The sequence below is a fragment of the Homo sapiens genome, chromosome 3 (genome assembly GCF_000001405.40).
Source record: "Homo sapiens chromosome 3, GRCh38.p14 Primary Assembly".
Classification (NCBI taxonomy): Eukaryota; Metazoa; Chordata; class Mammalia; order Primates; family Hominidae; genus Homo; species Homo sapiens.
The window spans coordinates 120,943,395-120,955,960 of record NC_000003.12 but is presented as its reverse complement, the minus strand read 5'-3'; the positions used below and the strand labels follow the sequence as shown (position 1 = coordinate 120,955,960).

The 12,566-nt window shown below is 33.5% G+C and overlaps 1 protein-coding gene across 14 annotated transcripts in view; it reads right to left on the bottom strand.

The window, feature by feature from the left end:
- Positions 1-12,566, bottom strand: part of STXBP5L (syntaxin binding protein 5L) — a 516,557-nt gene that overhangs the window by 468,801 nt on the left and 35,190 nt on the right. For 13 of the 14 annotated variants that reach the window (NR_145516.2, XR_924217.3, XR_001740373.2 and 10 more), the window contains exon 3: positions 924-1,021. Coding sequence is in view for 10 of the 14 variants with exons in the window: in NM_014980.3 (NP_055795.1) it covers positions 924-1,021 (98 nt within the window). In the remaining 4 variants the exon portion in view is untranslated. The remainder of the gene's footprint in view (positions 1-923; positions 1,022-12,566) is intronic. The other variant, NR_145517.2, reaches the window with a different exon arrangement.

The following is a 12,566-nucleotide window of genomic DNA, read 5'->3' as shown; positions in this document are numbered from 1 at the left end:
ATGCAACAATATGAATGAATCTTCAGAGAGTTATACTGAGTGAAAATGGCCAATCGCCAAAAATTATAAACTGTATGATTCCATTTATATAACATTTTTGAAGTGGCAAAATTATTGAAATGAAAAACAAATTAGTGGTTGTTAGGGGTCAAGGATGGGGTTGGAGGGACAAGGTGTGACCATAAAAGAGCAATATGAAGAATCCTTGTGGTGATAGAAATGTTTTGTATCTTGATTGTATAATGTCAATATCCTGGTTGTGATATTACACTATAGTTTTTTAAGATGCTACAATTGGAGCAAAGTAGGTGAAAGAATATGGATATCTCTGTATTATTTCTTATAACTACATGTGCATCTACAATTAATTATCTCAAAAAGTTTAATTTTAAAAAACAAGATGACACTAAAGTAGAATTTGGGAGGAAATTTATAGTACTATAGGCACATATTAGAAAAGAAGAAAGTTCTCAAATTAATTAACTGTTTCCACTTTAAAAACTAGAGAAAGAAGATCAAATTAAACCCCAGGTAAGCAAAAGCAAAGAAATTTAAGTGATCAAAGCAGAATTCAATGAAATCGAATATAGAAACACAATAAAGAAGAGCAACGCACCCAAAAGTTGATTCTTTGTGAGAATCATGAGAATCAATACAATTGATAAACTTCTAGGCAGATGGATAAGGAAAAAAGAGAAGATACAAATTACAAATAACAGGAGTTAAAGAAGAGACATCAATACTGATCTCAAAGACATTAAAAATATGCCAATAAATTTGAAAGTGCAGATTTTTCACAATAGTTACTCATTTCTTAAAAAATAATAAACTTTATTTGGTCATAAATATTTATCTTACCTGAATATTTAAAGAAATGTAATTGGCATTACTGTGGCAGATAATGAACCAAAATTTAAGGATACATTCGTATAGCACCTGTTCTCGTCCCAATAGCCAAGATTTTCTGAACTGGATCAAAGGCTAATGCTGTGGGCTGATGAGGAAAACCATGCCGAACTGTCTGAAAGAGAGCAAATAATACCAATAAGTCTCTAGGGAAATAAAAATTACAATCACAAGATACCATTATATAGCCACCAGAATGTCTAAAATTAGTTTAAAGGAAAAAAAAAAGCTACCACCAAACATTAACACAGAGATGGAGTAACCTAAACTCATACATTGCTGATGGGAGTGTAAAATGATACAAACACTTTTTTAAAATATCTTGCAGTTTCTTATAAAACTAAATATACATCTGTCTTACAATCTAGCAATTCCACTCCTATGCATATATTCAGGAAAATTAAAAGCATATGTTCATAAAATGATTTGTATAAGTAAGACCCTACCAGCTGTATTCAAAATAGTAAAAATCTGGAAACAGCCCAGGTGTCCAACAAAAGAATTAAAAAAACAAACTGTGATATGATATAATCATACAATGGAATACTACTAAACAATTAAAAGACACAAACTACTGATAGATGCAACAACACAAATGATTCTCAAAAAAAACTATGCTAAGAAGCCATACACAAGTTTATAAAATCAGAACAGTAGTTGTCTTGAAGAGTTATTGATTGGGAAGGAATATGAAGAAACTTTTTTGAGTAAAGATGTAATATTCTGTATTTTCATAGCAATTTGGATTACACAAGCATATACATTAGTTAAAACTCATAAAATGGTACAATAAAATTTGTGATTTCTCTGCATATAAATTACACCTCAAAAAATGTTAAGAAATTATTAGAAACAAATATTAAAATCTATTCAATGTTATGTATACGGAGGTGTTAAAGGGTAAAGTATACTGACATCTGCAACTTGAAAATGCATCCACAAAATAATATAGATACCTGGGTGGACAGATGGATAGATAGATACATGATAAGTGAATGATAACTGTCAAATATTAGTGGTAAGAATATACATATTAGTGAGTGTTCACAATATAATTCTTTCAACTTTTCTTTCTGTTCCTGCCTTATACATCTAATAAATGGCATGTATAAAAAACCTACATCATAAAAATTAGTGAAAGAATCAATGTTTTCCTTCTAAGGTTAGGAATCAAACAAGTATTTCCACTCTATCCACCTCTATTCAATATTGTACTGAAGGTTCTATCCCATCCAGAGCAATTAGACAAGAAAAAGAAGTAAGACACATCCAGATAGGAAGGAAGAACTAAAACTATCTGCAAGGAACACAATTTTGTATAAATGCAATCCTAAGAAATACACTAAAAAATTATTAGAACTAATAAAGGAGCTCTGCAAGCTAAAGTTACAAAATTAATGTAAAAAACTCAATTGTGGGCTAGGCACAGTGGCCCATGTCTGTAATATCAGCACTTTGGGAGGCCAAAGCAGGAGGATTGCTTGAGTTCAGGAGTTCAAAACCAACCTGGGCAATATTACAAGACCCCATCTCTACAAAAAAAAAAAAAAAAGGAAAAATTCACCAGGCATGATGGCGCACACCTGCAGTCCCAGCTACTCAGGAGGCTAAGGCAGAAGGATCACTTGAGCCCAGGAGGTTGAAGCTGCAGTGAGCCATGATCATGTCACTACGCCCCAGCCTGAACAACAGAACAAGACCTCATCTCAAAAAAAAAAAAAAAAAAAAAGTCAATTGTGAGATCTTTCAAGGCTATTGGAGCTACTGGCAAAAAATTACTGTATAGATTTCCACTGCTGCTTATTTATAATGAGTAGTTTTCCCCACTCCAAGTTTATATTTCATATCATATTTGTTCAACAGCTCTTTAAGTGAATCTATTTCAAGCATGTCTGTAAGATCCATTTCTTGTTAGAACAATGCCTGACAATTGCTTAGAAACTATATGGAAAATGGGCTGGGTGCAGTGACTTGCACCTGTAATCCCAGCACTTTGGGAGGTCAAGGCAGGTGGATCACTTGAGCCCAGGAGTTCGATACCACCCTGGGCAAGATAGAGAGATCTTGTCTCTATTAAGAAAAAAAAAAATTAGCTGGGCATGGTGGTGCATGCCTATAGTCTCAGATACTCTGGAGGCTTAGATAGGAGGATCACTTGAGCCTGGGAGGTTGAGGCTGCAGTAAACCATGATCACACCACTGTACTCCAGCCTGGGTGACAGGGTACAAAAGAAACTATACGGAAAAAATTTTAAAAATTGTACACACCCTTATTCATTGACCAAGGATATTGTTTATTGATAAGGGCATGGGTACTTTATATAGTTGCATGATCAAGCATCCATCAATGCCAAAAGAAGAAAAATGACATTAATTGTTGTCAGAACTATAGAAACGGTGAGTTGAAGTCACTGCTTCAAAGTGTTTTTATGAAGATAAATGTCTTGATTCACCATGTTGCAAAATCACCATTATAAATCCAGTGCTTTACCATTAGGCTATAATAAAGGCTTTTATGAGGACTTAAAAGTGAAATATTAAAAAAATAAAAAGTCAATTGTATTCCTGCATACTAACAATAAACTATCCAAAAATAAAATAAAGAACCCCATTTATAATAAGTAGAATCCAAAGGAATAAAATATATAGGAATAAAATGAACAAAAGAAGTGCAAAATTTGTACTCTGAAAACTACACAATATTCTTTTAAAACTTGAAGATCTAAATAAAAGTCATCCCAGATATCTATAGATTAAACATTAATGTGGCAATACTCTCCGAATTGATATTAAAATCAATGCAATCTCTGTCAAAATCCCAGCTGGCTTTTTTGCAAAAATTGACAAACTAGCATTAGTTATATCTCCCAATGCTATCCCTCCCCCATCCCCCCACCCCACAACAGTCCCCAGAGTGTGATGTTCCCCTTCCTGTATCCATGTGTTCTCATTGTTCAATTCCCACCTATGAGTGAGAATATGCGGTGTTTGGTTTTTTGTTCTTGCGATAGTTTACTGAGAATGATGATTTCCAGTTTCATCCATGTCCCTACAAAGGACATGAACTCATCATTTTTTATGGCTGCATAGTATTCCATGGTGTATATGTGCCACATTTTCTTAATCCAGTCTATCATTGTTGGACATTTGGATTGGTTCCAAGTCTTTGCTATTGTGAATAGTGCCGCAATAAACATACGTGTGCATGTGTCTTTATAGCAGCATGATTTATACTCCTTTCGGTATATACCCCGTAATGGGATGGCTGGGTCAAATGGTATTTTTAGTTCTAGATCCCTGAGGAATCGCCACACTGACTTCCACAATGGTTGAACTAGTTTACAGTCCCAACAACAGTGTAAAAGTGTTCCTATTTCTCCACATCCTCTCCAGCACCTGTTGTTTCCTGACTTTTTAATGATTGCCATTCTAACTGGTGTGAGATGATATCTCATTGTGGTTCTGATTTGCATTTCTCCGATGGCCAGTGATGGTGAGCATTTTTTCATGTGTTTTTTGGCTGCATAAATGTCTTCTTTTGAGAAGTGTCTGTTCATGTCCTTCGCCCACTTTTTGATGGGGTTGTTTGTTTTTTTCTTGTAAATTTGTTTGAGTTCATTGTAGATTCTGGATATTAGCCCTTTGTCAGATGAGTAGGTTGCGAAAATTTTCTCCCATTTTTGTGGGTTGCCTGTTCACTCTGATGGTAGTTTCTTTTGCTGTGCAGTAGCTCTTTAGTTTAATTAGATCGCATTTGTCAATTTTGGCTTTTGTTGCCATTGCTTTTGGTGTTTTAGACATGAAGTCCTTGCCCGTGCCTATGTCCTGAATGGTAATGCCTAGGTTTTCTTCTACGGTTTTTATGGTTTTAGGTCTAATGTTTAAGTCTTTAATCCATCTTGAATTGATTTTTGTGTAAGGTGTAAGGAAGGGATCCAGTTTCAGCTTTCTACATATGGCTAGCCAGTTTTTCCAGCACCATTTATTAAATAGGGAATCCTTTCCCCATTGCTTGTTTTTCTCAGGTTTGTCAAAGATCAGATAGTTGTAGATATGCAGCATTATTTCTGAGGCCTCTGTTCTGTTCCATTGATCTATATCTGTTTTGGTACCAGTACCATGCTGTTTTGGTTACTGTAGCCTTGTAGTATAGTTTGAAGTCAGGTAGCGTGATGCCTCCAGCTTTGTTCTTTTGGCTTAGGGTTGACTTGGCGATGCTGGCTCTTTTTTGGTTCCATATGAACTTTAAAGTAGTTTTTTCCAATTCTGTGAAGAAAATCATTGGTAGCTTGATGGGGATGGCATTGAATCTATAAATTACTTTGGGCAGTATGGCCATTTTCACGATATTGATTCTTCCTACCCATGAGCATGGAATGTTCTTCCATTTGTTTGTATCCTCTTTTATTTCATTGAGCAGTGGGTGCAGCGCACCAGCATGTCTCATGTATACATATGTAACTAACCTACACATTGTGCACATGTACCCTAAAACTTAAAGTATAATAAAAAAAATTGACAAACTAATCCTAAAATTTAAATAGATATCCAAGAGACTCATAATAACAAAACAATCTTGAAAGAGAACAAAGTTAGGTAACTCACATTTTTCTATTTCAAAACTTATACAAACCTAAAGTAATCAAGAAAATAAGGTATTGGCATAAGGATAGACATATAGATTAATGGAACGGAAATGAGATTCCAGAAATAAATCCTCACATTTTCAGTCCATTGATTTTTGAAAAGAGTGCCAAGACAATTCATTGAGGAAAGACTAATCCTTTCAGCAAATGGTGCTGTAGCAACTCTATATCCACATGTAAAAGAATCAAGTTAAATCCCTTACTTATAACATACACAAAAATTAACTCAAAATGGATCGTACGTTTAAATATAAAAGTCAAAGCTATAAAACTCTAAGAATAAAGAAATCTGTTTAAATCTTAGTGACTTCAATTAGGTAATGTTTTTTTAAATTATTTTTTAATTGACAAAAATTATAAATGTTTATGGTTAGAACATGGTGTTTTGATGTATGTCTACACTGTGGAAAGGTAGACAATGGTTTCTTAAATAAAACACCAAAAACACAAGCAATGAAACAAAAAACAGACATATTGAACTCTGTCCAAAGCAAAAACTTATGCGCTATAAAGGACACCATCAAAGACAGTTAAAGAAAACAAATCTGGAGGCATTACATTATCTGACTTCAAACTATACTACAAGGCTATAGTTACCAAAACAGCATGGTACTGGTATAAAAATAGGCATGTAGACAAATGGAACAGAATAAAGAACCCAGAAATACAGCTGAATATTTTGACAAGGTATTTGACCTTCAACAAAGCAACCAAAAATATAAGGTAGGGAAAGGACACCCTATTTAACAAATGGTGCTGGGATAATTGGCAAGCCACATGTAGAAGAATGAAACTGGATCCTCATCTCTCACTTTATACAAAAATCACCTCAAGGTGGATCAAAGTCTTAAATCTAAAACCTGAAACCATAAAAATCCTAGAAGATAACATTGGAAAAACTCTTCTAGACATTGGCTTAGGCAAAGAGTTCATGACCAAGAACCCAAAAGCAAATGCAACAAAAACAAACATAAATAAATGGGACCTAATTAAACTAAAAAGCTTCTGCACAGCAAAAGAAATAATCAGCAGAGTAAACAGACAACCCACAGAATGGGAGAAAATATTCACTAACTATGCATCTGAGAAACAACTAATATCCAGAATCTACAAGAAACTCAAACAAATCAGCAAAAAATAAAAATATAAATATAATAATCCCATGAAAAATTGGGCAAAGGACATGAATAGACAATTCTCAAAAGAAGATACACAAATGGTCAACAAACATGAAAAATGCTCAAGACCATTAATTATCAAGAAAATGCAAATTAAAACCACAATGAGATACCACCTTACTCCTGCAAGACTGACCATAATTTAAAAATCAAAAAATAATAGATGTTGGCGTGGATGTGGTGAAAAGTGAACACTTTTACACTGCTGGTGGGAATATAAACTAGTACAACTCCTATAGAAAACAGTATAGATATTCCTTAAAGAGCTAAAAGTAGAACTACCATTTGATCCAGCAATCCCACCATTGGATATCTACTCAGAAGAAAAAAAAAATCATTATATGAAAAAGACACATGCACAGGCATGCTTATAGCTGCACAATTTCCAATCGCAGAAAAATATGGAACCAGCCTAAATGCCCATCAACCAATGAGTGAATAAAGAGAATGTGGTATATATACACCGTAAAATACTACTCTGTCATAAAAAGGAATGAAATAATAGCATTTACAGAAACCTGGGTGGAGTTGGAGACCATTATTCTAAGTTAAGTAACTCAGGAATGAAAAACCAAATATTACATGTTCTCACATATAAGTAAGAGCTAACCTATGAGGACACAAAGGCATAAGAATGATATAATGGATTTTGGGGGCTCAGGAGGAAGGGTGGGAGTTGGGTGAGAGTTAAAAACTACACATTGGGTACAGTGTACACTGCTCAGGTGATGGGTGCCAAAAATCTCAGAAATTAGCACTAAAGTAGTTATCTATGTAACCAAAAACCACCTGTTCCCCAAAAACTATTGAAATAAAAATGGGAAAGGATAATCCACAGAATGGGAAAATAATTTGCAAATCAAATATCTGAAAAAGAACTTAATCCAGAATATATAAAGAACCCTTAAAATTCAATAAAAAGACAAATAACCTAAATTTAAAATGGGCAAAGGATCTTAACAGACATTTATTATATAATAAATAAATAATATATATAAATGGCCAATAAACACCGAAAGATCCTCAACATCATTAGCCATTAGGGAACTGTAAATCATATCAACAAGATACAACTGTGCACCCACTAGGATAACTATAATAAAAAACAGATATATTAACACATGTTGATAAAGATGTAAAGAAATTGGAGCCCTAATACATTGCTGTTAGAAATGTAAAATAATGCAGGCTCTTTGGAAAATAGATTGGTAGTTCCTCAATATATGAAATACAGAGTTACCATATGATTCAGCAATTCTGCTCCTGGGCATAAACCCAAGAGAAATGAAAACATAAATATAAACAAAGCTCTTGTAATGTTCATAGCAGCATTATTCATAGCAGCCAAAAAGAAACAACTCAAATGTCCATCGACTGATGAATAAATAAACAAAATGTGGTATATCCACACAATAGAATATTGTTCCTCAATTTTAAAAAATGAAGTACTGATATGTGCTACAACATAGATGAACCTTGAAAATGTTATGCTAACTGAAGAAGCTAGTCACATACTGTATGATTCCATTTACATGAAGTGTATAGAATAGGAAAATCTATAGAAACAGAATTTATATTAGTGGTTGCCAAGGGATGGGGGTTCAGAGTAATAGGAATTGACTGTTAATGAATACAACGTGCCTTTCTGGACTGATGGAAATGTTCTAAAATTGATCGTGGAGGTTGTTGCACAACTCTGTGAACATACCAAACACCACTGAAATGTACACTTTAAATAGGTGAATTGTATGGTGGGTGGGTTATATTTCAATTTGAAGTAAAAGAATTTTTTCTTCTCAAGAACACCAAATCGTATTATGAGACAAAGTATGCAATAAAAAGTTGACATCAGTTGGGGTACCTAGTTGATTTCAAAAGAATCAAGGACATCAACTGGAATGATATAGATGCAGTAGGAAAAAAGGAGCAAAGAAAATGTAGAACAGAGTTTGAAGACAACTATGTTAAGCTTAAAAAATTCTCAGTTTTAGACAAAGTCAAAAAGTGTTCTTGAAATATTATAATTTATGCTCAGTGAAGTAAGATAATGGTAGCAAAGCTAGTAAAAAATAAGTGAATTTCTTAATATCTAGCTCTTCTTAATGCTACTTTGCTTTGCTTGTTTTCTTTTGTTCCACTCTCCCTTCAAAATATTACAGGAATGAAGTGGCCAACGTATCAATAGTTACACAAATCTATCTAGATATTTGAAGCAAATAAATATGTAATAGAAAGAATTAGTTACAAATATGTGGGAGGGCTAGTCATACTACCCTGAGTTAAGGAAGTTGCTACCTCTTCTGAGGATGAAATACATAAACCTGTACTCAGTGCTGATATTGCAAGAGGCACTACCGGAAACAAAATGACTTTTGCTTCCCCTCTACTTTTTAATTTGACATAAGTGCCTCCCATTGGCAGAATCTAACCAGAACCCAGCTACCAAAAAAATCTGAATATTTTAGTGTAGTTTTAGTTTTAGTTTTCTTAGTATAATTGGGAACACAAAGGGACCAGGATAGAACTAACAGCAGTACTTTGGCAAAGCAGAATTTATATTAGGCCTGATTGTTCAGGCTTAATACTGTCATAATGTGGCAAAATAGCCTCAAAACCACCTGTGATGGGGACTGTCTACTGTTCCCCAATGTCTGCATTTTTCCCTTCTATACTAATAGAAGTTTTAGTTCAGCAGATAACAATCCAGTTAAATACTATATTTATCAGCCTCCACTGCAGGCTAGACCAGATCGTGAACAAAGGAAAACAGAAGAAATTATATATAATATATTCTTAATGGTAAAGGCAAATATTCTATTTTTCTTACCTTCTGACTGATTGGAAAATAGATACAATAGCAGGAGTTAGAACAGCCATCTTAGAATATGAAATGGAAGCCATATGTTGAGGATGGCAGAACAAGATAGAAAGATCTTGTTGGATTATTGACACCGTACAATCATGGAATCAGTTCAAGGTTGCTTTTGATTGGACATATTCATAAAAGACAGATAAATTTCTATATTGTTTAAGCCACAGTTATTATGGCCTGTTACAGTAGCCTAACTTGCATCCTAATACATACCCCAACCATTCATTTTTAAAAAGAAGTAAATATTAGATCACCAAGTTAATTTATGAGGAATGCTTCCCAGTATTGATCATCAGCCTAAAAAATGAAAAAAATAAATATGGCTTTTGATTCTAAAGACTTCTAGTGTGCTATCATATTAATGGTTCATGCTGTGAAAGTTGCAGATACCAGAATGAAATCATTTTTTGTAGACCCAAACAAACCAGAGCTGGAAAAGCGAAAAGCATGAAGGGTTCATGCTTGCATGTCTGAGATAAAGACTGTCTCAAGGACTTTCTAAAACAACTCCAAGAGAAATTCTTTTTTCAGTACTGCTATAATTAATATAAGATCCTCTTGAAAGAACACTTGCCCAGTAATAGCGTTTCCACCAATGAACTGATGCCAACTCTGGCTTTGAGTCTCCAAAACCAATGACCTCTATTTCCAAGCAGTTTATGTGAACTTCTCCTTTTGCCAATACCAGCTTCGTTTTACTCTCGCCTCTTCAGATGCATACATGGCTTGGCATGGCTATGCATCTCAGGTTAAAAAAAACTTCATTTCTAATTCCCAAATAAATTCAACATATTTGGACATATTTTTCATCTGATTTTTTTGGTTGACATTGCATATATATATCCTATTCAAATAATACTGATATGCCAAAGCTATCATTTCTATATTTGAACACAGAACTCCTAGAAGCATTGTACCAGGTTTCACTTAATAATATTAATGTAACCATTGGAAACTACCATGTATAGAAAATAATAATAATACCTATATGTAACAGGGAATAGAATATTCCAATTATGAAATACATTTATTTTATTTAAAAATTATTCTAGGTAGAAGATTTGCCAGTAAATAGCTATGATTACCTAATATATGCTATGCCTTTTCTGATATTAGGTTACTTGTCGAGTTTTTGGTCTACAGATGTTACACTCTGGGTAAAGTGTGGATTGGGGCATATCATTCCAGATCTTGAATTCAGAAATTGTACATAAACTGTCTCAAAATTTATGCAGTAAGTCATGAATTGATATAATTTGAGATAAAATATCTGTAGTAAGGAACGTGATGGACACAACATATTTTGCCACTTTGGTAAACAAAAGCCAATTATTACTGGAACTATGGAGCAACTCTCATTGTTGAGAAAGGTCCCTCAATTTCAATGATGCTTGTTTTCAATAACAGCCAAATCATTTAAACCTTGAGTTTTTTAGGATTATGTGTGTATGTTCACAGCTCTTACCTAAATCTGATGTCATCTTGGGTCACTGAAAGTATTGCTGAATAATTTCCTGCTCTCTTGGATGAAAGAAAAGACTAAGTAAAAGGTCTATAATGCATATGACACCATAGAGTGGCATAACGGTGATAGAAATAACAAGTTCCCATGAAACTCCATCACATTGTGATTCAAAAAAATAAAAAAGTAAGATTGTTCTGTATGCACAAGAGTGGCAAATTACCTGCTCACGTAAACAACCACTGGTCATTGGCGATGGAAGTATTGGTACTAGTTTCTCAGTAAGACTTACAAATCTCTTGAAATAACAAGGAAACTATCACATTCAAAGATCCAAAAGGTAGTTATATTAAATTGTTAAAAGAATAAAGCACTAATCCACTCCCATTTTATATTTGGAAATATATATAATAGAAATGGGATATTTGTTCATTAACTTATTTTTTGAAATTTTATATCTAACTTTTTTCTCTTCTCATGCTAGTTTTATTTTTAACATAGTCTATCATGCACATAGTTTAACAAGTCATATAATTCTATAGGACATATTAAGATAATTAAAAGTCATATGTCTCCTTCCCTCTCCCATTTCCTACTTCCCAGATGCAACCACTTTTCAATATTTTTTGCTCTTTATTTTTGTATTTTTACTTAATGTGTCTCAAAATAACATTTTTACATTGCTACTTACTGACTTTTCCAAAGGGAAAAAAAAAGGATTCTCTTTCTCACCTACCCCCATTACACATACAAGCATACTTCCCACATCCCCATCCTCCAAAAAAAAATCCTAACTGTTCAGTCTCTACTAACTACTACTCTTTTACTTTGCCACACAAATGTTTTTGTTCCCTGGGGCTAATTTTTTTAAATTTTCTTCATTTCCTTAGTTTTTATGTGCTTATCACTAATTCAGTCCCAAACTCTTCCCCCAATTGCCCTCATCTTTCAATATGTTAAACATCAGATACATATATTCAAACAGAAGAGACAGAGAAAAAGAGAGAAAGCGAGACAGAGAGAAAAATAAACTATATAAGATACTAATGATCCAGTTTAAAAAAAAAAAAGAAGAAGAAGAAGAAAACAGTTGTTTCCTGGGTCCAAGGCAGAAAAGATGGATGGGCTGCTGCAAAGGGCCACAAAGGATGAAATAGCCACAAAAGGGCTATTTTGAATATAGTAGTAATTTCACAGGAAACTCATCATATTTTATAGTCTACATAATATCAGATTGTTTTAAGCATTATAAAGCAAATGAAGACTTATAAATATAGGTGCAAAACACTAAATAAGATACTGATAAATCAAAACCAAGTGATATATTCAAACAATGATAAACCATGGCCAAACACATTTTATTCCACAAATGTAAGTATAGATACTAAATATATATACCTCATACTCTTATTAGTTACTAACTTATTTTATCCTTTTCCTTTCCTTAATTTAAATTTTGAGTTTTCCAGACCCTAGCCTTCAAATTGTGAGAACTTCTAACT